General features: G+C 56.4%; 1 protein-coding gene across 23 annotated transcripts in view, besides 4 other annotated features; it reads right to left on the minus strand.

Annotated features, from left to right (window-relative positions):
- The window catches only part of ACOX3 (acyl-CoA oxidase 3, pristanoyl), an 85419-nt gene that overhangs the window by 10028 nt on the left and 51561 nt on the right, over positions 1-23830 (minus strand). For 7 of the 23 annotated variants that reach the window (NM_001375784.1, NM_003501.3, XM_047416230.1 and 4 more), the window contains 5 exons: positions 16160-16275; positions 9646-9820; positions 8229-8296; positions 5576-5662; positions 950-1748 (listed from right to left, as the gene is read on the minus strand). In NM_001375784.1, the coding sequence (NP_001362713.1) occupies positions 1629-1748; positions 5576-5662; positions 8229-8296; positions 9646-9820; positions 16160-16275 (566 nt within the window). In that variant the 3' untranslated portion in view covers positions 950-1628. Of the gene's footprint in view, positions 1-123; positions 1749-5575; positions 5663-8228; positions 8297-8735; positions 9181-9645; positions 9821-16159; positions 16276-20809; positions 23041-23830 lie in introns of those variants that run through there. The other 16 variants (XR_007057969.1, XR_007057970.1, XR_007057968.1 and 13 more) reach the window with 9 other exon arrangements.
- Positions 9279-9779: an enhancer, noted in NCBI's record as "H3K27ac-H3K4me1 hESC enhancer chr4:8376338-8376838 (GRCh37/hg19 assembly coordinates)". NCBI's record gives its function as "activates a minimal SCP1, AML or CMV promoter by ChIP-STARR-seq in naive H9 embryonic stem cells {active_cell/tissue: H9 hESC(naive)}" and the evidence as "EXISTENCE:reporter gene assay evidence [ECO:0000049][PMID:30033119]".
- Positions 10926-11443: an enhancer, noted in NCBI's record as "H3K27ac-H3K4me1 hESC enhancer chr4:8377985-8378502 (GRCh37/hg19 assembly coordinates)". NCBI's record gives its function as "activates a minimal SCP1, AML or CMV promoter by ChIP-STARR-seq in naive H9 embryonic stem cells {active_cell/tissue: H9 hESC(naive)}" and the evidence as "EXISTENCE:reporter gene assay evidence [ECO:0000049][PMID:30033119]".
- Positions 16150-16749: an enhancer, noted in NCBI's record as "H3K4me1 hESC enhancer chr4:8383209-8383808 (GRCh37/hg19 assembly coordinates)". NCBI's record gives its function as "activates a minimal SCP1, AML or CMV promoter by ChIP-STARR-seq in naive H9 embryonic stem cells {active_cell/tissue: H9 hESC(naive)}" and the evidence as "EXISTENCE:reporter gene assay evidence [ECO:0000049][PMID:30033119]".
- Positions 16750-17348: an enhancer, noted in NCBI's record as "H3K4me1 hESC enhancer chr4:8383809-8384407 (GRCh37/hg19 assembly coordinates)". NCBI's record gives its function as "activates a minimal SCP1, AML or CMV promoter by ChIP-STARR-seq in naive H9 embryonic stem cells {active_cell/tissue: H9 hESC(naive)}" and the evidence as "EXISTENCE:reporter gene assay evidence [ECO:0000049][PMID:30033119]".

The raw sequence follows: 23830 nt of genomic DNA on the forward strand, positions 1-23830 counted from the left end.
TAGACAAAACACATGTAACCCACGAAGAGTTTGTTTAAACCCAAGGAAGCTTCTAAACCAGAGTAAGATGAATTCAGGTGGGGATGCTCCTGGGTTCGAGTGACAATGGATACCAGCACCTACCTATTGCGTCTCAGCCCTGTGCTGGGGCACTCAGGCACCAGGGAGGTCCCATGGCTTCTGGTCCCGCTCGGCCACCTCCTGCTGTCTGCCTGCGGCAGTGTCCAGCCTATTGGGACCAGTCTCCTCTCTGCAGATGCAGCAAACGGCACAGCTCACCCCACGCGGTTGGCTGAGCGTCCCACGAGATGATGAATCCTGAGTGCTCAGTAAGGTGCTGGCAGGCGGTAGGTGATCATCAAAGAAGTCACTAATTACCCCTCAGATGCCCCTGGAGCCCCAGACGGGTGGGATGTGGTGGGGGGGTGGTGTCCTGACCCTTTTCTAACATGAAAATGGCTTCAGAAGTGATTTCCAGTGCTGGAAATTCAGTTTTTAAAAACATTCTGGACCATGCCCTTCAGACGCTCAAAAGTTCTCTGGGCTACCTGGAAAAATAAGAACTGGTCTTATTTGGTTCGGCACCGTCCTGAGACATGCTGGGTTACATCTGTTTGATGGGCTGTGGTGATACGAGTGTGGCCACGGGGGTCAGGGGGCACCAGAGTGACCCAACTCCCTGCTACTGAAGACGAAGGCCTTCCGTGCCCTGAGCTGATCAGAGGTTAAGAAGCAGGACCCAGATGCAAAGACAGAACTGCTCCGGGAACCTAACACTGGGAAGGGCAGCCAAGCCCATGGCCCTGCAGGGAGCAGGAGTGACCGGGGGAGGCGTGCACTGATGGCCCCGGTCTGCTGCAGTCAGGCTGTGGCCAGCGCCATGGGGACAGGCCACATGTGTGCAAGGACTTGCTGGGTAGACTCTGCAGGGACAAACAGATCATACATGTTACCAATAAAGTGATTTGTATATAACTGGCGGCAGGGGGAGGGGGGCGGTTGGAGACTGAATTGCCCATTCAAATCATTAGACTTTTTAAAAAAACATTTCCTCGATGGAAATTTCCAGTTCCACAAAAGAAAGTAATCAAACAGATGTTCCTCCTTAAGTCTTAAACCACGACATTCAGATGATCTATGTGCAAATTAATAAGGTTATGACATAATTCAATTATGTGACAAAGCCGAGGGAGAGTTGACAAAGAACCAGACTGGCATCATTGACTTCTCAATGAAGTGGAGCTCGGTAAAAAATCTAGATGAATCACAGGTTGTCTGACCAGAAGATCCCTGACAATGGGCTGTTTACTTTAGAGAAAGGAGCTGAACCCTGAAAACTGAATGTGCGAAATTCTAATTATCAAAAAACCCACGGCGCATCAGGTAGACATGATCATCTGCATTTCTTTTCCACGCTGCAAATCACCGCGATCCCAGATTAGTCCAGCCGGCCGGGTGCCTCCCTCCCGTCCGCCTGGGCAGTTGAGGCCAATCAGCAGTTTAGGCGCACAGGTGCGGGCTCAGAAAGCAGCAGCAATCTCCGGCGTGTTCTGGAATCAGAAGTTGAGGTCCACGTCTGATTAGTTCCCTTCGTTTCATTAGACTTGGCTGAATGTGTGCCAGTCCCACTAGAGCTTCGATTTCAGACTTCCTATGACAGGTTTGTTCACAGAAAACTCTGGCCACCAGGATGCCCGCTCCAACACCTTGCTTTCCTGCAGGACAGCGCCCCAGAGGTTTTTGTAGAGCTGCAAACAACACGTACACAGCAAGTGAAGACAAAGAAATAAGAAGGAAAAGATTCCTAGACGGCTGAGTGTGCAAATGCAACTCCTCAAAGTTTTTGTTAAAAACACAGGAAATTCGGCTGGGCACAGTGGCTCACGCCCGTAATCCCAGCATTTTGGGAGGCCGAGGTAGGCAGATCACCTGAGGTCGGGAGTTTTAGATCAGCCTGACCAACATGGAGAAACCCCATCTCTACTAAAAAAAAATTCAAAATTAGCCAGGTGTGGTGGTGCATGCCTGTAATCCCAGCTACTCGGAAGGCTGAGGCAGGAGAATCACTTGAACCTGGGAGGTAGAGGTTTCAGTGAGCCGAGATTGCACCACTGCACTCCAGCCTGGGCAACAAGAGCAAAACTCCGTCTCAAAACAAACAAACAACAACAACAATAACAAAAAAGCACAGGAAATTCTCTGTCACTTTTTAGAGAAATTTTAAAATGGTTTAAATTTATATGAATATTTTCTTTTTTTTTCTAGTAGAAAACAATTAGGACAATTCAATTATAAAGTACTATAAAACACATTTATAATGAAAATCACCCCTCGCCCTCTTCTTTGGAAATTATTGGCTGGGTGAGGTGGCTCGTTCCTGTAATCCCTGCACTCTGGGAGGCTGAGGAAGGCAGATCACTGGAGCTCAGGAGCTTGAGACCAGCCTGGGCAACACGGCGAAACCCCATCTTTACAAAAAAAAAAAAAAAAAAAAAAAAAAAAGCAAAAAATTAACTGGGCATGGAGGAGTTCACCTGTAGTTCTAGCTACTTGGGAGGCTGAGGTGGGAGGATCACTTGAGCCCAGGAGGTTGAGGCTGCAGTGGGCCGAGATTATGCCACTGCACCCCAGCCTGGGTGACAGAGTGAGATCCTATCTCAAAAAAAAAAAAAAAGAACTGATCGTGGCAGTGGACACGCTGTTTCTTAGTAACTGCAGCCACCGCAGGATGCTGCAAGGCTGCATCGACTGCTGCTCTGAAATCTGCTCTCACACCCCAGGCCGCTACAGGCCGCACAGGTGGCACGTGGCCACCAGCAGCAGGATGCCCTCGCCGAGTGGCCCTTACTGGCTGATTTCTGGACCTGGGCCACCACACCCTGCTCCTCTGGTCCTGCCCCGGGCCAGCACTCCCCTACGGGAGGTGCAGACTTCACTGCTCTCAGCCTAAGTGGCCTCACTGGGAAGATGGGGAGAGACGCTCCTGTCTTGGAGGAAGGTTGTACAAATGAAGGGCGAAGGGCAGCTGAGCAGACACTTCACCCGTGCAGGGTGGAAAGGGGCAGCCCAGACCATCTCCAGGGCCTGGGGAGGTGGTCTATTGTGTATCCAGCTTACGCTGACCCATTTTATTGAGAAGAAACCCCTCTGCCTGCACCCGCTAAATGCACTTAGCAACCCCTCCTCCCCACTCTGCTACTCTGGGCTCCACAGACACAGACCCAGGCTGCTGCTCCACAGGGCCTAGGTTCCAGCTTATGTTTCACAGTTTGGAGCAGCGGGCTTGATTTAAGGATGGTCTCAACTCCCCTGCAGCTCTGTTTGTTCGCTTATAGTGAATTTCTCACCTGGCAGCTCCTGGTTAATACACCAGTTCCTTGCAACTGGAAGGAATGCACTTTTTTTTTTTTTTTTGAGATGAGGTCTCACCCTGTTGGCCAGGCTGGAGTGCAGTGGCGCGATCACTGCCCACCACAGCCTCGACCTCCCCAAGCTCAGGGGATCCTCTCACCTCAGTTTTTGTAATTTTTATGGATGGGGTTTCAGTATGTTGCCTAGGCTGGTCTCAAACTCCTGGGCTAAAGGGATCCGCCCGCCTCAGCCTTCCAAAGTGCTAGGATAACAGGTGTGAGCCACCATGCTCAGCCAGGAATGCACGTTTAATAAACCATCCTGCCAGCGACACCTCCAGCTGGCTCTGGTTTTAACTATGGAACCCAGAGCCAGGGGGCCCCTCCATCATGGGCAAGGTCTCTCCTTTCCTTGGTCGTTCCCTGCCTCAGAGACGGGCCTGCCTCTGCAGAGCAAGGCACAGCAGGTAGACGCTCAAGGCCGCTCCGGCTTCTCCTGCACGGGGCAGACAGTCCCGTGTGCTTGGGGGTCCTCCATGGCGGGTCTGGCTCCAGTGTCCCTTCGAATGCCTGTCTGCCTGGTGAGCCCCCACCTCCTGGGGAGACTGCCTCTCCCAGGAAGGTGGGTAGGGCAAGTCCCTCTCCTATGCGCTCCCCCAGGACCCAAGGCTCCCGCCAAGTCTTCTCTCCCTACAGCAGGGCACAGTCTCTTCAAATCCTGGCTCTGCCACTCCCTGGCTGGGAAACCCACTGGGCTTCTCTGGCTCTCAGCTCTCAGCGGCAGTCATCATCTGGGCTGTATGGGCTCTGGGGATGGTCAGTGGTCAGTCCCCGATGCAGGACAGCAGGCCCTCTGCAGAGATGACCATCCCTGCCTCTCCTACTACGGGGAACTCTCACCTCCTGCCCTGCCCACCCGGCTCCTGGCACTACCTGCCTCTTGGCACACCTAGCCCAACCCAGGTGTAGCCTGGGCCGCGCTGAGGCCAGGCGCTGGGCCCTCCCTGGCTAAGCCGGTAAGGGCTCATGTACAGACTTCAGCATTCCCTGAGGACTGAGGGAGGGTCCTGCCCACTAAGGCTCAATCTCCATTTGGGCAGAGACCCAGGTGCTTCAGCAGGTGCTTCAGCAGAAATAACTCAGTTGCGGGGCCAGGGGGCAGGGATGGGGTCAAACCCCTCTGTGACTCACAGCCAGGGGACCTCAGGCATGGGACATGAGCATTGACACGCCGAGTCCCTCTAGCAGAAGACAGACACAGCCCCATAAGCAGTGGGGTGCTGGAAGGCACCCAGTGGACCTGTGAGCATCGCTCCTCGAGGGCATCATCAGGTGGGAGGGAGACACAAGGTCAGTGATGAGGCCAGCAAGGGCAGCACTACAGTGCCTGGGGGCACTGCCTCAGCTGGAGGCCAGAGAAGGCCTCTCCAAGGCAGCAATAGTCAGCTTATACTGAAAGAATGGAAGGCACTCCAGGCAGCCCGAGCAGCAGGCACAAGGCCCTGGGGTGGGCATGGGCCTGGCGCGACAGACGGGGAGGCCAGTAAGGCTAGATCTGGTGGGCAGGAGGGGAGCGTGGGGTGAAGGGCCTTGGAAGGATTCAGTGGCTGTGTGGGGCTGGGGCGTGGCAGGCAGTCGAGGAGGCTGGTGGAGGCTCCCTCAGGGGGGCGGCCTGACCCCATCTGCTATGAAGGAATCATTATGGAACATGGGGGGCAGGAGGAGAGCTGAGGAGCCACAGGGAGGCGGTTGGGGGAAAGCGGGGCAGGGGAGAGTAACCCCGGTGACAACCATGGATGGTCAGAGGGGACAGAGGGGCCTGGGGATTCCAGGACAGGGATGGGGGAAGAGGCCTGCAGGGCCAGGAGCATGGTCAGATGGGGGTAAGACCTGGGACCGGGGAGGCCGGGGGGAGTGGGAGGAGGGCAGAGGTCACAGTGTGTGGACCTCCAACCTCTGCCTGTGCAGGCGGGCAGTGCCACCACCCCATCTCGGGAGGAAAAGGCAGGCAGGGGATGGGCAAGTCCCCTGCAACCACAGAGCCAGCATGGGGAAGCACCAGAGTGAGACAGTCCTGACTTGTCCCGGGCCCTCCCCAAGAAGCTCCTCCATGTGTGACCACTTTCCAGAAGACACCAGACCCCTGACCCACAGGAGCATCTCAGCTCCGCAGAAATGCCCATCAACCCTTGGGGCACTCCCGTGAGGCCCTGTCCTCCCTTTACCTCGCCGTCGGCTCTGCCAATCGGTGAGTCCAGAACAAAGTCAGGAGGAGCGATCACGTCTACCAGGGCAACTGCATCGTCTTTCAGCTGTTGGAAAACAAAGCCCAGACACTTGGCACCTCCCGGGAATTTCCATGGTGACCAAAGCATAACAGCCCCGTGTGTGGTTGCCAGGACCCACTAGCAACGGGTCACCTGAGCGGCACGTGCGGCTCTGCTGCCCATGCGTGATCTCTTCACCGGCCTGGATTCGAGGCCCTTGCTGTGCACTGGAATGTTCTCACCATGCTGCTTTTCACTCAGGACTTCTAGGGCTTGTTTCTTCCCAACAAGGTAGAAAAGGCCCTTAAAAGTGACGACCCTGAAGCTCGTGAATTAGCAACTGCATTCAGAGGCTCGTTTCTAAGCCTTGGCTTATCTGGGCAACTGCTGTTCCAGTAAAGGAAAATATGTTCAGAAAACATGTAATAGAGAAGGCATTTATGAGCACTTGGAAAAGCCATAAGCATATGAAGCCTCCTCGGTTGGCGGTGGTTTTATTACTCTCCCATTCCACTGGACAAATTATTCTTCAATATGACACATGAAATTTATATGAGTGGACTCTCAAGAATTTTCTTAAGATGCAAAACAAAAATTATCCTTAAAATATGATGAAATGCCGTGGCTACACTGCATAGAACCCAGGAATGGGAGACACCGCTAATGATATGGATCAAAGGCAATCAGTCAGTACAGAGTAAGAAAGGCCACAATGGAGGAACTGAGTGCACCTCTGCGCTTCAGCGCCGCGCTCTGCAGGGCGTGGCCACCTGGTCCTGGTCCACGTGCCTCAGCACAGAGGCCGCAGACAAATGCCACTGCTCCCGGAGAGAAGCTCTCGGCAGAGCACAGGCGCTGAGCCCGACAAACGTGTTCCGTAAGGGTCCAGGTGGGAGATGTTACCGGCTTTGCGGGCCACGGTCTCTGGCAACTGCCTACTGTGCCGTGGAAGCACAAAGGCACCCACAGACGACACTCAGGTGAACGGCAGGATTGGACTGAGTTTGCTGGCCCTGGTCTAGTGGATGGCTGGCAACTTCTCCACCTGGCTGACCTTGGCCTCCCCAAGACAGTGGTATGGATGGGCACACACAGAGTGGCACACAACGGTCATCCAGCCTTGGCCATAGCCTCACTGGGAAATCAGTTGTGGCTGTCATTTTTTTGAGACGGGGTCTTGCTCTGTTGTCCAGGCTGGAGTGTGATGGTGCAATTACGGCTCACTGCAGCCTCGAACACCTGGGCTCAAGCCACCCTACCTCAGCCTCTTGAGCAGCTGGGACTACAGGCATGTGCCACCAAGCCTGGCTAATTTTTTAAAATTATTTTTTGTAGAGATGAAGTCTCACTACGTTGCCCAGGCTGGTCTCGAACTCCTGGCCTCCAGTGATCCTCCTGCCTTGGCCTCCCAAAGTGCTGGGATTACAGGAATGAGCCACCACACCCGGACACTTTTTATCAACAACACCTCCCCGCTATGCCCCCCTCTCTGGCGAGGAGACCCCCGTGCTTTCCTTGGTGCACCTGCATACTCTGAAGGCCTCCATGGGGTCAACACTGCCCCAAGGGGGTAAAATTTGGCTCTTGGAGGAGCCAAGGAAAACCCCTCCCTGTGGCCAGTTCGATGTTAAGACGAGTAAATGTGGCCACATACGTGCGCCACAATCAGACACGCCCCTCTCTGGAACCGCAGGCTCAGGGAAGGGCTTTATACAACGAATCCCGAGAGAGGCTCAGAGCCAGTCACAGGGACGTTCCACTGGTCCCAGATCAAGTGTGAAAGCAGTGACAGGGGAGATGAAAGGCCACGTCTGCAGTCACCTGAGACATTGTGCTAAAATGCAGCAGCACTCAGTCCAGTTCCTAGCAGCAAAAGTGGAATGACGTCTCCACGGACACAGTGGCCCTGCCCACCGCAGCAGCACCAGCACCAGCACAAGTGGCTCCTCAAAATCAGTGCAATGAAAGGAAATCGGAGACCCTCACTCACACAGCCGCCTTCCCCCAACCCAGCGGCTGCCGTGCTAAACAGCACAGCACTGCAGCTTCTGTCCCCGGATGGAAGAGAGATGCCGGATCAGAATGTGGGGTTGGGGCCCTCTGATTTCCTGGGTGACATAGGTAAAAGAATATAATAAACAAGGAAACTGCCAGGAAACAAATTTAAATTGGAGGCTGAGTCCCCCGAATGCTCAGAGAATTCTCAAAGTAGCTGCAAAAGGTGTGTGAGAGGGCCTGGGTGTGTGCAGATCTGGAGACGCCCCGACAGGTTTCTTTTGCAAAAATTTCTGATGTAGCCATATTTTCTTGTAATCCTACAGTTTTTACTAAACACTGAACACACGTGAATGTTTGGGTTGCAAAGGCGGTGTGTGTCGGCTCATGGGTGACGCTAAGGCGGTGTGTGTCAGCTCTGGGTGATGCTAAGGGGGTGCGTGTCGGTCTGGGTAAGGGGGTGCGTGTAGGCTCTGGGTGACGCTAAGGGGGTGCGTGTCAGTCTGGGTGATACTAAGGCGGTGCGTGTCGGTCTGGGTGATGCTAAGGGGATGCGTGTCGCTCTGGGCGGTTGTGTAACATGGATGTAGAGAACGCGACAGCACCCACGGCTCACCTGGGAACACAAAGCCAGGACGGCGCTCTCCAACACTTCTCCCGCCTGCTCACCGGAGAAGTATCCTCCTGCAAGCACAGCCTCGGTCACATGGGGGCTGGGTCCAGTCCAAAACCACCCCCAATACCAACATGCCCTGAGTGCACTTTCCAAATCGGCCATATAGGAGGCCTGTTTTGGGTGAACACATCAGTGTCATTGCTGTCCCCAGCCCAGATGTGACCCAAGGAATGTGCTGCTCAGGGGCCGAGTTCTGAGACCCTTTTCCCACTCAGGCATTGATGGTCTCTGGCCCGCGGCAGCGAGGGAGGCAAGGTCCCAGGCTCAGAGGTGACAGGTGGCCGCTGGGCTCATACCTGCTGGGGTTCAGGGAGGCTGGGCGGGTTCCTTCCTCGGGAGAAAGTGAGGAAGGGGCTCCTGGGCAGAGTGAAGCAGGGGTGCATGGCAGGGGGCGCAGGGGCGAGGGGGTGCCTGGGACCACCCAGGGGAGTTGGGGGCGGTGGGCACCTGCAGGGACTCAGAGGCCGCAGGGGGACTTGGTCCTTGGTGTCACCTCCAGCCGCTGTGGTTTCTGGCAGGGCCCTAAGAGGTCCAAGGCTGTGGCCTTGTGCGTTCGGGAGCACATCTGTGGTGGGATCTGCGTTTGCTGTGATTTCCGCTGGAGAGAACTGTGTCTCATCACTTAGGGTTTTTCTCAGGCAGCAGTGGGGCTCCTGCCCTGTGCCCGCCCTCTCTGGCAGACACTTGTGTCCCTTCCTTGGTGCACCTGAGCACTGTCAAGGCCTCCACGGGGTCAGCACCACCCTCCAGGGGGTAAACGCTGGCTCTTGGGGTGGGGAGGATCTTATTCTTCACAAGCCCAGAGACACAGGACATGAATGGATATGCAGTGTATCCTAGTACCAAAGATGCATGGGTGCCAGCCATTGGGAAAAACCACCTAAAAAGCTTCCTGGGGGGCAAAGACGAACAAAAAGTTGACAAACTTTGGTTTAGCCTATTCCCACCAATCCTCCAGGAATCAGCCCCAGCACCCCCTCCTCCAGGAAGCCTTCCAGTATTCCCAAGTCTAGGCACTCCTGGCTCGTGTCTGTCTGTGCCTTATGGGACCTAGTGGGTGGGCTTCTGCTCTCTGCAGAGCCCGGCAGGCTGCCTGGCATGAGGGGGCCTTCTGGAAGTGTTCTCTGAACCGAACCCCAAGTGAAAGAAAAATTGGGTTTCTCGGCACCACCCTGACGCTGCTCTGCCCCATATGCTTCTCATTATGGAACTGGGCTTCTCATCTGTCCACAGCGCCATCCGCCGTGCTCAGTGAGTCCCGTGGAAGGAGGACGATGGTGCAGGAAGCAGCTTCCTAGATACAACACGGGGGCCCTGACTCTGGGGAGGACAGCAAGCCCGCAGTCAGAAGCCTCACCTCGGTAGAGCAGGGCCGCGTGGCGGCTCAGGGACCACAGGGCGTACAGAGCACTGAGCCGCCCCAGCACGGCCCGCAGCGAGGGCGGCACGGAAGGCTGGTGCACGTGCTCGTGGAACCTCTGGACCACCGTGAGCTCCACGAAGGCCAGCGCCAACGGACGGCCGTGGGACACCTGGAACACAGGACGGCACCGTGAGGACCGTGAGGGTCCCAGCCCCGCCCAGATTCCCGGGGGAGGAAGTTCTCAGGAAACACGAACGCGGGTCTGCGTTCCCGTGCATGTCCTAGGACAGTAACATAAGGTGAGGCAGAGCACAGATGCGGCGCAGCACGAGACATGTTTCCAGAACACAATGGAAGAGGCCTATGAAGATGGAGCTGGGACTGCTCTGGCTCCACCGACGCCCTCCAAGGCCTCAGTCTCAGCTCAGCTCCCGTCTGGGACTGGGGTTGGCACCAGCACTGCATACGGAGCCTGGAGCCGGCCTCGGGATGCTCTGCGGCTACAGAGTGGGCGCCCACCAGGAGGCCCCCAAGGGCCCAGGACCTGGCTTCTTCCACACGGGAAGACACAGAGGAGCTGGAGAAGGGGCTTGTCAGGCTCCTCCCTGAGCTCAGAATTGACTTCACTTCTCCAAAGATCTGCCACCCCGTCCTCCAAAGCCTCCAAAGCAGGCTTCTCTCCCTCTCCCCCTGCCGTAAGGCCCCCGCAGGCTCTGCCGCTCCCATCTTTATGTCCATGAGTGCCCCATGTTTAGCTCCCACTTGTACATGTGAACATGCAGCATTTGATTTTCTGTTGCTGCATTAGTCTGCTGAGGATAATGGCGTGCAGCTGCATCCATGTTGCTGCAAAAGACATGACTGTTCGTAGTGATGGCTGCACGGTATCCCATGGTGTCTATGTACCCCATTTTCTTTATCCAGTCCACCGCTGATGGGCACCTGCGTTGATTTCACATTTTTGCTATTGTGAATAGCGCTGCGATGGACATACAGGTACATGTATCTGGCTGGCAGGATGATTGCTTTTCTTTGGGGTGTATACCCAGTAATGGGATCACTGGGTCAAGGGGAAGGGCAACTCTTAGCTCTCTGAGAAATTGCCAAGCTGCCCTCCACGGTGGCTGAACGAATCTGCGTTCCCACCAACCGTGTATCTGTGTCACTTTTCTCTACAGCCTCGCCAGCATCTGTTATTTTTCTTTTTTAATGAATATCAAAAACATTTGCTGATAATCATCAACTTCACTTATTAGCCTTTCTTTCCCTGTCTCCCATTTATCATCTTACCAGATTTTTTAAATTAGGAAAACAACACACGCATTGCTTGACTTGTTAGGATGAGCAGGTGCTACTTTTAAAATTAAAAAAAAAAAAATCCAGCCAAGTGATGAAATATGGTGTATGGGGGACTGACTGCTGCAGGAGGACCCGGCTGCATGCCTGGCCTATGACGCTGCTATGACGCTGCCCCAAATCTTCCCAGAACACAGCAGGGTGAAGCACACGGCAGCAGGGTCTCCAGTCACAAAGCCAGTGTCCTCCAGGGCCCTGCTGGGATCAGGAGCCTCGGGAAAACAGAAACCGGGAGAAGCGCCTTTCCCGCTGTGCTTCATGCCAGGCTGACTGGTCCTGTCCCAAGACCCCCGCTGGGCCCCGCACACTCCTGGGTGGGCCGTCCTGTCGGTGCCAGGAAGGCCCGTCCTGCTCCCTGCTGTCTGAGCATGGAGCATGCCAGCATGGGGCCTTGGGGCTTCCTGCCCTCTTCTGATCTCACATGCGCTATAGCTCTGGGCCTTGGTTTTGGTGAGTGAGGGCTGGTGGCAGGATCTGGACTTGCTCTGGGGCAGTAGGGACTGCCTGACAGACCCCAGCTAGGTAGGACTAGCACCCAAATTTCCCAGAGCCCTGCCGAGTGAGGTGGGGCAGCCCTCAGGCTCCCACCTGAGGCCTCTGGCAGGAGGCTGATAATACAGGCCTGTGGGGGAGCTGCCAGGTGTGGTGCTGCAGCTCCAGGCCTCAGCCCTTCCTCCTTCCACCTTCCATGAAACAAGCGGGTGACGGCATCTGCACCCCCGTAGGCTGCTCCTGTGTCCACGAGAACACGATAATTCCATTGAATCCTGCCCACACCCCAAAACGTGCTCCCACACCACGAGGGCCTCTCCTCTCGCCATGGGTCCTCTGCGAACCCAGAGATGAGGCCAATCCCAGCAGGGCCCAGGCACAGAGAGGCCGTCCTTGAACCGAATCTGAGTGAGCCCTGTGCCCCGCACCACTCTCCCCGTCGCCTGCACAGTTGCTGTGTTAGAGCGGCACTGCTTCAGTGTTTTTCCATGAAAGTGACACAGCTTGATACAGCGATGGCACAGGCCAGACATGCTGCGGGGGCCAGAAAGACAGCCCCTCCTGGAACCTTGCTGCTGTCAAATAATGCATCGCGAGTGCCAGTGAGTTTTGAAACACAGCGTCACTCGGCTCTGCAGCTCTGCGCGTGAGCAAAAGGCGTCATGGCTCCAAGCCTCAGCGTTGTCTCCTGCGTGGTGCTGCTGGGGTCAGGGCGGCTCTCTCACAGGAAGCGCCTGCGATGGCAGCTCTACTGTACTCAACGGCATCTCAGTCCCCAGGATTTGCCTGCATGATACTGCGCTGTTCTTCCAGGAAAGGTCCACGTAAGGCCAGCAGTCACCGGGGGGGACACAGGCTCTGGGGATGGGCTCCCTAAACAGTGTCTGCCATGGCAACCAGCAGAGCTGACCACAGCATTAACCAAGGTGGGCTGGGGCCCAGGAAGCATCCCATGCGGTATGGACTCTGGCGACCCGGGGGGACAGTAATGCCTCAGGTGCAGTCCCTCCCCCACGGACAAAGTGTCCCCACAGCTACGGTTAGGGCTGGCGCACTCCAGCCGAGAGTGCTCACGGCACCCAGACACATCCGGGAGCCCCACTGCCCCCACCAGCTGCCCCCTAGACAGGGCGGGGCTGGGCTCTGCTCTAGGGGGATCTTCTGGACCACCTCAGCTGCCCCTCCAGAGCTGCCAAACTGTCCCCAGCTAGGACTGTGACAGGCACTTCTCAGGCTCGATGCAGCTAAGGTCAGCTGTCCGTAAACCTTCAGCACAGGAGAGAGGAGAGGGTCCCAGTCTGGTACACTCTGGTTGGTGAAGTACATTTTAAGAGGCAATGCATACTTCAGGCAAAAAAACAAACCCCAAACTGTCCAAATTCAGACTGCAGCCATGCAGCCTGGGGAAAGGGTTGGACTCTGTGACAGCTGGCCCGGGTGCAATCCTGGCCCCGGCACGGGCGAGCTGGGGGACCTTGGGCATTTCTCTTGGCCTCAACTTCCTTCACTCCCAAAGTAGACAACGTGAAATGACCCAGGTACAGAATCCAGCGTGTGGCTCAGGGAGAACAAATGTCCTCGTCCTTGTCCGCCTTCTGATGTGCAAATCCCTGAAGGAAACCTCGAGCCCTTGTGGCAGGGGTTGGTCCCAGGCTGGAGGCAGGCTGCGGGGACGCCACCACCCATCTTTTTACTCCCAGGCTGGAAGCAGGCTGCAGGGACGCCACCGCCCATCTTTTTACTCCCAGGCTGGAGGCAGGCTGCGGGGACGCCATCGCCCATCTTTTTACTCCCAGGCTAGAGGTAGGGAGGAGGGACGCCACCACCCATCTTTTGTATCTACTGGCTGTTGAACATGTAAAGGTGTCACTCAGCCAAAAAATGAGAGAAATGCATTTTTAAAGACCTTTCTGTGCATGCCAGGCTTACAGTGGGTAAATGGTGGATAGCAGTTACTGGCAGGAGCCAGAAAATGTTTAAAAGTTAATAGATTTTCTCCACCAGGTCAAAGAGTAAGCACATTTTTAACAAAAATGGTCAGTAACCTTCCCAAAGGACACAGCCATCACCCTCTCCATGAACGGTGCTGCTGCCCAAGCCCAGCCTGATGCCTGTGGAAGTGTGGCTTTGACCTGCAGCTCCTGGCCCTGGCTCCAGGTCAGTGGCTGCTGGGGCTGGTTTCCGACCAGGCTGGCATCTATCTGAAGGAATTCCTTCCTTCCTGGGGGTGTTCTCCGTCGGCGACATGTTACGTGGGCTTCCACAGGCTGCTGTGTGTCTTCCGATTTTGTTTAGAGCGTCTTTTGCAATGCAGAAATGCTGAACCTTTATGCAGCCAAATCCGATGGTTTTTTTAACAGCTTCCGGTTCCCATCTTCCTGAAAAGGCTGGTCTAGGCTGAGGCTTTCTTGGTATGCCGTATTGCAGGGGAAGGGGCTGCGTCTCCCCTGGGCCCCCTTAGCATTCAGCCCAGGGCCCCAAGGGCTCTCAGCTATCACAAATGTCCCCTGCTCTTAAAAGCTCCGCGACCCGGGGCAGGTCTGGAACACGAAGCCCTGCCCTGGCAACTGTTTTCCCTCCAAGGCCTTGGGGCTGGTGTCTGTGGGTGTCTGTCAGCTCCACAGCTCAGCCCAGGGTCACCGTCTCAGCCGGATCAGAACCCAGGACCCCTCCTGGCCTCTGCCGCAGCCCTCCGTGAAATTCTGCTACCAAGTTCTCGAAGGAAAAGCTACAGGTGAGGAGGGGTTTCTCAGCAGCTGAGCCACACACTCGGGGTGTTGTGGGGTCACACATGCCAGGTCCCCAGCATAGATCGGGGCTGGAAGGGGGTGCTAAGGACCTACCGGGCAGTTCTAAGAGACACAGGTGTTGTTAGGAAGGGGGTCCTTTTGTGCCCCCCATCTCTGGGGTTCTTGTTTCATAACTCTTTGGAGAATCTCTATTCCATTAAAAAAATGTTTTCTTTCTTTTCTGAGACAGGGTCTTGCTCTGTTGCCCGTGCTGGAGTGCAGTGATGTGATCACGGCCTACTGCAGCCTCAACCTCCTGGGCTCAAGCGATCTTCCTGCCTCAGCCTCCTAAAGTGCTGGCATTACAGACATGAGCCAGTGCAGCAGCCTATTCCACCTTAACGCAAGGATGTGGCCTGCAGAGGAGGGAGCAGTGGAAGCTGACAGGCATCCACTGGTTTCTGAATGACCCAACCTGCTGTGTATCACCCAAGGTGGGTAAACAAGGCGGCCTGTTCTGGAAGGGTCACTTCACGCTTTGGTCACCATGGCCCTAAACTACAAGTTTTACAGACCCTGGCCACCTGCTGACTTCATTTCTTTTCAGTTATAAATTCAATATGGGTTCCTTTTTTTTTTTTTTTTTTGAGATGGAGTCTTGCTCTGTCACCCAAGCTGGAGTGCAGTGGTGCGATCTCGGCTCTCTGCAACCTCCACCTTCCAGGTTCAAGCGACTCTCCTGCCTCAGCCTGCCAAGTAGCTGGGACTACAGGCGCATGACACCATGCCTGGCCAATTTTTTGTATTTTTAGGATACACCAGGTTTCACTGTATTAGCCAGGATGGTCTTGATCTCCTGACCTTGTAATCCACCCGTCTCAGCCTCCCAAAGTGCTGGGATTACAGGTGTGAGCCACTGCACCTGGCCCAATCTGGGTTTCTTTGAGCTTGACAGGAGCCCATCCTTCCTGCCTTCTCTCCTCATCCCAGGGCAGGTGTGTCTAGCAGGTTCCTAGAGGAGCTGGCCTGAGGGGCGGGGCTGCCCCCCAGCAGCAGGCTGTGAGGTGCTGGGCCTTCCCAGAGACAGGCAGATGTGGACCTGGGTCCCCATAGCAGCTTCATTACTGAAGGTGACCCATAACCTCATGAACCGACGCTAGGGAGAAGGGGTGACAGCAGCTCTCTCCGTATCCACGGCCTCCCTGCACAACACTCATGGCCTGAGTCTCCCCACAGCTATGGTTAGGGCTGGCGCACTCCAGCCAAGAGTGCTCATGGCACCCACAGACACATCCGGGAGCCCTACTGCCCCCACCGGCTGCCCCCTAGACAGGGTGGGGGCTGGGCTCTGCTCTAGGGCAGATGGCTGGGACAGGGCTGGAAGGTTCCTGGCATGACAAGGTGTTTTATAACAGGCTATTTTTTCCCTGTGGCTTCCTGGAACATGAGAGACAGCCCTGTCCAAGTGTGAGAACCAAAGCGCTTTCCAAGGCCAACGATGACCCACTCACCATTGCCACCCCAGCCCCTCGGGAAGGCGAGAGCAACTTGTGGAAAACCAAGCAGGGCGCTGGCATCACTCCCACGAGTCAGGAGGGAGTGCTCTGAGTGCCCGCAATGGTGTCTCCGCCACTCTGTGCATCCAAGGCTCTCACAACCCAGAGCTTCACCGCTCTGGTTTACGGGCTGGGAACCGTCAGGCACGGTAAATGTAACATCCATGACCTCCCCAGCCCAGCAAGACAGGTGCTGCCATCCCTGTGTTACAGAGGAGCTGAGCAAGCAGCAAAGTCATCAAGTCATCTGCCCAAGGTCACGGGAGCTCGGGGTCTGGGGCCTGAATTGCCAGGATGTTCAAACTCCCAGGGACACAACGGCCAGGGAATTAAGAGCAAATAATACAAAAGGGAATTTTGAAAACAAATACTTACCTGGCATTTGTTCCTTGCTTCAAAGTCACTGCTTCCTGATCTTTTCTCTTGGTTTAATTTTTGATAAGTCTCTCGGAGCAGGTAGCAAACCAGCCACTTGTATGCTGCCAGGGCGACTTCGGAATGACAAACAGAAGGAGAAAAAGTAACAATAGAGAACACAGCATTTGTCACAACTCACCCCCAGGGACAAGGCACTGCCAGCATCCTGCAGGTACCAGGTTGTCTTCATTGACAACCAAGTGTATGGGGTGGGTCTGATTTTATAGGTAGGGAAACTGAAGCACAGGGAGGGCACCTGCCCAGGGCCCCCCTGGCTGGAGGCACTTCCTGGCTCAGCCCAGGGCTGTCCTGAGTTCTACACTGTTCCAGCAGCCTGGAGGCCACAGGAACACGGTGCCGCCGCTAGAGTGGGCCCCCGAGTGGGACGGCTGCACGTTCTCGCACGCACCAGGCTCGGTCTGTGTGAAGCGTGGTGCTGCCTCCACAGCATCAGCCAGGACTGCATGGGCAGCAGGACAACTGGCCGGCGGTGGCGCCCAGTGGCGAGAGGAAGGGGTGCTTCCGTTCGCCTCCCCCTGCCTGGCCCTTGGACCTCACCGCATGCTGGAGCTGTGGAACTGGGGACTGACATGGTGGGGGAGGGGGGAACCTAAGGCCTCACCCCCTGCGTGGCCCCTTCCACAAAGCTCAAAAGGGCAGGAGGGAGCAGATGTTGCAGACAGGGAGGCCCCGGGGTGGGGTGTCAGGCAGGACAGCTGGAGACCCCCCTTCGTCCTCCCCTTCCCCTGGCAGTGGTGCCCACATCTGCGGGGCCCCCCACAGCACAGCCAGAGCTGGCCTCCCACAGTACTCCGTATGGACCAGGCATGGTCCTGAGACCCCACCAGGCTGTACTGCTACTACCCCACTGATGAGGACACGGGCCCAGGGACCCAGGTACATGGCGAGCATGTGAGGGAGGGGTGCAGACCACCCACATGTGGAGGCCACGCTCACACCCACCCCCTGCCCAGGCACAGAGGGCCTGGCGCCCAGACACGAGGCACCTCCAGGCTGCAGGGGCCTTCTGCCTGGCAGCCGGTCTTGCTCAGAGATCCCAGGCAGGAGAATGGGGATCAGCCACACTGAGTCTGAGCCCAAAGGCTGAACTCAGTGGGGCTTGGGATTTCCTTCTATGTCACACAGCCCAGGTCACTGGGAAGAAAATACCCAACGTTGCTGGGCGCAGTGGCTCACACCTGTAATCCCAGCACTTTGGGAGGCAGAGGCGGGCGGATCACGAGGTCAGGAGATCGAGACCATCCTGGCTAACACGGTGAAACCCCGTCTCTACTAAAAATACAAAAAATTAGCCGGGCGCAGTGGCAGGCGCCTGTAGTCCCAGCTACTCGGGAGGCTGAGGCAGGAGAATGGCGTGAACCCGGGAGGCGGAGTTGCAGTGAGCCGAGATCGCGCCACTGCACTCCAGCCTGGGCGACAGAGCGAGACTCCGTCTCAAAAAAAAAAAAAAAAGAAAAGAAAATACCCAACGTTGCAGTTCCTGCCACAGCACACCCGACTGCTTTCGGCTGTTACATCTGTTCACCCTCACGGCATAACTGAGAAGCCCGTCACAAACCAGAGCAGGCCGTTTCCCAGGCTCACACGTCAGGCGGCTTGCCGGAGGTCTCAGCTCCCCAGAGGGAGTGGGATGGAAAGACGGGTGCTGCTGACCCCGCAGGCAGGGCACAGGCAGGGTTGGGCGGAGGCTTCCTCCATGCAGGCATCTTCAGGGAGCCAAGGCTCCCCTCGCCAAGTCCTGCCAGGCATGGGGCGCTGAATGGTGGCCCCAACTGACCCCCACAGCTGTGAATGTGACCTTTGTTGGGAAGAGGGTCTTTGAAGATGTCATGAAGTTGAGGTATTCAGGTGAGGTCATCAGGGACTCCTGGACTAGGATGGATTCTAAATCCAATGACACGTGTCCTTACAAGATGCAGAGACAGCAAAGTCACAGAGGAGGCAAAGGCTGGCATGATGCACCCACAGCCAAGAACTCCTGGAGCTGCCAGGAGCCTGGGCGGGAAAAGCCCCCCCACCACGAGAGGGAGGCGGGTAGCCCTGCCCCATCCTGACTTGGGGTTTCTGCCTCTGCACCAAGAGAGTCACTGTCTGCTGTCTTCAGTGCCCAGGCCGTGGCTCTCTGCTGCTGGCAGGCTGCCCAGGGGTCATCCTTGAGCCTCACATGCTACCCTTCAGGACTTTACTGGAAAACTCAGGTCCATTTTGCAACCAATGCTGAGGGGAGGCCCTTGTGACCACCGCCTGTTCCTAAAGGCTCTGCAACATCCCAAGCTCTCCCCAGCAGGGCAGATGGTCACGAACAGCAAGGAAAGGTAGACGCCGTACAGTTGTGCTTCCCACGACTTATTTACACAGCAACAAAACCAAGGAAACGGTCCGGCCAGAAACCACTTGTGCAAATTCCTTCTGACCACACCAGAGGCCCCCGTGTCCCACCACGCATCAGCCATGGCTGGGCTTCCCTCCCAGCCTGTCCTGGCCATTCCCAAACACTGCCCCAGGAGGTGTCCCTCTGCGGTGGACACTTCACGGCAGTTACCCGAGTTTTCCAATCTGTCTCTGCAACCAGAATTAATCCATGAGGCTTCACGTCGATGGCCAGTTAGACTGTGCTGTGGGCTTCAAGTGAGAGGGACGCTTGAGAAATGAGTTATGTTTGCACTGTGTTTTTTCCTTACACTCTACTTTTGGTTCTTGGTTTTTCGTGAAAAAATAAATCATGTCAGTCTGATGTGTTCATGTGCAGGGGAGAAGATCCCCAAAAAGCACATGAAAGCAAACAATGAAAGGTGGGTGTTGTGTGTGTCATTTTCAGAGTTAATGTGGAAGTGAAAAAGTATCGCTGAAACAAACTAGGCAGGAAAACGGGCACTGACGGGCAGTGAATTCTCTTGCTCGGAATGCGGCTGCTGGCGGCCTGAGGACACACCCAGCGTCAACAACCTCTGTCCTCAAGACTCTCCCAGAATCCTGGGTCACCACGGCCTTTCCATGTGCCTCACACCAGAAGGACTCTCGAAGGTGCCCCCAGCCGCCCTGTGCACCCAATGACTGCCCCTCGATCTGCCCCCTCCCCAGCTGGGGCTCTGTCCTTGACCCCATGGTGAGCTCTTCGCATGCACTGCCTGCCTTTCGGGTCTCGGTTTCCTCTCCCGTCTCTGGGTCCAGTCCCCTCTGCGTCAGCATCAGAGCACTCCTAACTCGGATTCTGACCCAGGCAAGCCCTGGAAAGCAAGGCCTGGACAGCGGCCCCAACTCCTCAGCCAGATCACAGGCCCGGGTCTGACCATGCCCGCCGCTCTGGTGCTCCTGAATGGCCGGTGCTCCCCAAAAGCACAACGCACGGACCCTCTGAGACACCCTCAGGTGCCAGTTTTGTGGGAGACATTCCCTGACCCACCAAGGCAGACCTCACCTGCATCTGTTGTTTCCAAGGAAGTGTTCAGGACTGTGGCCCCCCACACGCAGCAGCCCCCCACCGAGGGCACCATGGCCTGGCCCCTGCCAGGTGGCATGGGGTGACCGCATTCCCTCCCCACTGTCTCGCAGAAGGAAAACAGGCTCAGAGAGATTAAAGCCTAGCTCAAGGTCACAGCGGGGGGCAGTGCTGACCCAATAGCCTGTGCTCCCACCCTCTGGGAGCACTGTCTGCACCACGAACCCCACTGCTCACCTCATATGACCCCACTGCCCACCTCACATGACCTCACCATGCACTCCACGTGACCTCACCGCTCCCCCACGTGACTCCACCGCTCACCTGTGACCTCACTGCTCACCTCACATGACCTCACTGTGCACTCCACGTGACCTCACCACTCACCCCATGTGACCCCACTGCTCACACATGACCCTATGTCACCTCTGGCCCACATCCCATGACCTTGCAGTCCACAAATACACACGTGTCCGAGTAGTGAACACTGCAACTGCTTACTATGAATGCATACGAGCCAGCTAAACAACAGGGCCCACTGCAGGAAGCAACAGCACAGGCCCCCAAGGCACAGGGCTGTGACACTCAGCTCAGTGCAAAAATGCCTGTGCAAAAATCAGAGGAACTCAACAGAAAACCCAGCCTCCCCTACCCAAGTCAGAATCGAACCCCTGAAGGACCCGCCATTGGCTTGGCAAATCCTCCACCCTTCCTCACAGGCAAGCGCAACCCCGGAAGGGGCCTGTGTCTCTCCAGTCCTGCAGAGCCTGAGGGCCCCACATCACTTAAACAGCTTTTACCAAAGATCCACATGACGCAGGCTGCAGTCAGCCCTGAGACCTGGGATCTGTGACCAAATGCCCTTGAGACGATGGGGCTGGCAGAACCCACAAGCTTCCCTGCGGCGTGAGGGATAATGGCGGTCTCTCTCCCATACCACTTTGAACAAGTGAAAGCCATTTGCCTTTGTTACTCCGGAAAACGTTTTCACTTTGTTGCATCTTGTAAATATTAGAGCAGTTGCAGAAAAGCAGATGACTTTGGTGTCTTTCCTGATGATGGAGAGACTGTAAAATTGCTTTTGCTTTCAGTCTCAGGGGAAGGGGAGGGAAGAGCAGAGCGTGATGGGCACATGGAGAAGCTGGCTGTCCCATTTATGTTTTGATTTTATTAATATAAGGAGTGATGGTTTTAGGAAAAAGGTATTGGTTGGGTTGAAGTTACCACAATGATTAGGTCATTTTCTAGTTCTTTCTGTGGCAACATTTGGGAAGCTTAGAAAGTGACTTGCGGCCGGGCGTGGTGGCTCATGCCTGTGATCCCAGCACTTCGGGAGGCCAAGGTGGGCGGATCACGAGGTCAGGATATCGAGACCATCCTGCCTAACACGGTGAAACTCCGTCTCTACTAAAAATACAAAAAATTAGCCGGGTGTGGTTGTGGGCTCCTGTAGTCCCAGCTACTCCGGAGGCTGAGGCAGGAGAATGGCGAGAACCTGGGAGGTGGAGCTTGCAGTGAGCCGAGATCATACCACTGCACTCCAGCCTGGGCGACAGAGCGAGACTCCGTCTCAAAAAAAAAAAAAAAAAGAAAGTGACTTGCAAACATCAGAAATAGGTCATCAAACGTGTCCCCGTTTCCCACTGGCACCCAAAAAGGCAGGCTAAGATCTGCACGGTTAGTTACCGTCAGAAGCTGTAACCCAGCGCAGTGACCACGAGAAAGCAAGCAGTGATGCAGACGCTTCCTGATGACGATGCTGACGGTGCGGGCAGGGGAAGGCGCTGGGAAGCCGGACCGGCCCAGGCTCCACACCGGCTTCGGCCACGGCTGTTGTCCTGTTCTTTGCCGTGTGAACAAGGAAGTAGCCTGTAGGGCTGGAGACGGACAAGGACACACGCTCGGGGGCTGCTATCACATCCACGGCGTCGGTCCTGATGGCTGGAACGCGTCCTCCATGTGTGCCTGTCCCCTGCATGAGGGAGGCCAGTGCTCCCTCCTCCCGAGGATCCAGGGGCCTCCCAGAACCCCAGGGAAGCCTCACATTCTGGTCTCCTGAATGCAAAGCCAAGAGCATCCTCCATCTCCAAGTCCCCGCTCTATCTGCCCAGTTGAACGTGTGGCACCTCGAGGGCGGTTCCTGTCCAAACTCTGTGGCTGCTGAGCTGAGCACTGATGTGGCGCCAAGTGCTGCACTAAGTGCTTTACGTGCATGAACTCAGTCCACGGTACAAACACCTTATGAAGGGGGTACCATCCCCGTCCCCGTGCTGCAGATGAGGAAACCGAGGCAGGAAGGCTGAGGGACTTGGTGTAGGTTCCACGGCCAGCAGGAGGAGGGACCGGGATCAACCCCGGCAGCCTGGCGGGAGCTGACGTCTCTCTCACTCAGGAAGGTGGGCTACTCTTCCACGTCTCGGGTGTCACGGGAGCAGTCAGTTTCTACCTGGCCCGCCGGGACAGGGCGTCGGGACCCCTCTCGGCCCTTCTCTTCTGCACAAATAGGTGCTTTGGTGGCAAAGTGAAGACATTCACTAAATACTGCTGAGTGAGGCGATGGCGAGATGGAGGCGTTGCTGCGGCTTTGAGCTGTTCTCTGTGATACGCGGCTTTACAGACGGGGGCTGTGGTGGGAGGAAGGCATTTGACAGGGACACGGGTGGCACGGAGGTGGGGGCAGCTCCAGCCCTGCTCTTCTGTCAAATCGCACCCAGACCACTGGGCAAGAAGCATCCAGGAGCAGTAACGAGAGATCCCGAGCTTTGCGGTCCCACAGGCTTGGGTTTGAATCCTCGCTCCGCCCCTCCCTGCGCTCAGGCAGCTGGCACCAAGGGAGCCTTCAGGAGTGCCCTGTAGGACACGCAGAGCTCGGCTGGGTGCTTCTGTGTGGGGGCGCAGGGCAGACCCCCTCACCTGTCCCAGCCGCCTCTCACCTCCATTTCCACAGAGCAGCCAGAGTGGCCTTTTCCCATGAGGAACATTTTTAAAAATATGAATCATCAAAACAAACAGCACACCCCTTTCCACCAGGCCTCTTGCGCTCACCTCCCGTCATTCACAGCAGGGGAACGAGATGCATGCTCACATCGAGATGAGCTCGGCATGGGCTGGGCCCTGCTGCCTCCGCCTCCTGACACACCCGTCCATCGGGGGTCCCCATGGCTGCCCCCGCCTTTCACTGACCTCAATTCAAAGGCCAAGGCCCCTGCAAGGTGGTCACCAGCCACGCTCCACCTCACCAGCCAGGATCACTGCTTTGCAGAATTCCTGCTGCCCTAAGACTGAGGCCTTGGGATGTTTCTGTGTCTGCTGGTCTAGACTGTAAAGTCCCATGAGGGCAGGCACAGGTTCTCCATCATGCTGGCCGCCAGCCCCAGAACTGCAGAGTGAGCACATAACGAGCACGTGCAGAATTAACCCAGGAACGCGAGAGCAGCTGCTCTCCGGAGAGGGATCCCCTGTCAGGATCCAGCGCAGTCTACAGGGAAGCTGCTTTGCTTTCGATGCTGCCAGCACGGCCAGGCGCCTCATTCCCAGCTCTCGCTCCCACCTCTCTGAGCCACAGACCCCGTGTGGGTGAGGCGGAGCCTGCAGCAGCTCCCATGACACACCTGCAGGAGGCTGTCCGTGGCCAGCTCTGTGCGGGGCCCTGGGAGGACGCCCCACCCCGACCACCGCACCCACAGGAGATGAGCCTGTGCCACAGGGGCCGAGTGAAGGAGGTGCGGGAGGTGCGCCAGGGCGGGAAGGGGCATCTGCTGTTTGGGGAGCCAGCAGGGCCTGGGAGTGGGGAAGACTGACAGGTGAGGTGGCTGGGAGGGCCCAGGGACAGCAGCAGCCCAGGCACCAGGGCAGGGGGCAGAGGCTGCTTAGTGGACAGAGACCAGGCCAGGTGGCCTCTCACGCCCTTTATCCTATGGGAGGGAAAGGCAAGAGGCAAGGTATAAGGTGGCAAGTGGGCATCCTTCAATTCATCTGTGGAGTCAGCGCCTAACTCGGCGTCAGGCACAAAGAGATAGTCCATGAGCCAGCCCAGGACAAGCTGCATGCGGGGCCTCCCACCACCACTGCTGCCCCGGCTGGAACTGCCAAGGGTCCCCTCACCGAGGCACGGTGCGTTTCCTGGTGGGAATGACAGGAAATCAGGAGGCCAGGGGAGCCCTCCACCT

This window comes from Homo sapiens, chromosome 4, assembly GCF_000001405.40.
Source record: "Homo sapiens chromosome 4, GRCh38.p14 Primary Assembly".
NCBI classification, from domain to species: Eukaryota; Metazoa; Chordata; class Mammalia; order Primates; family Hominidae; genus Homo; species Homo sapiens.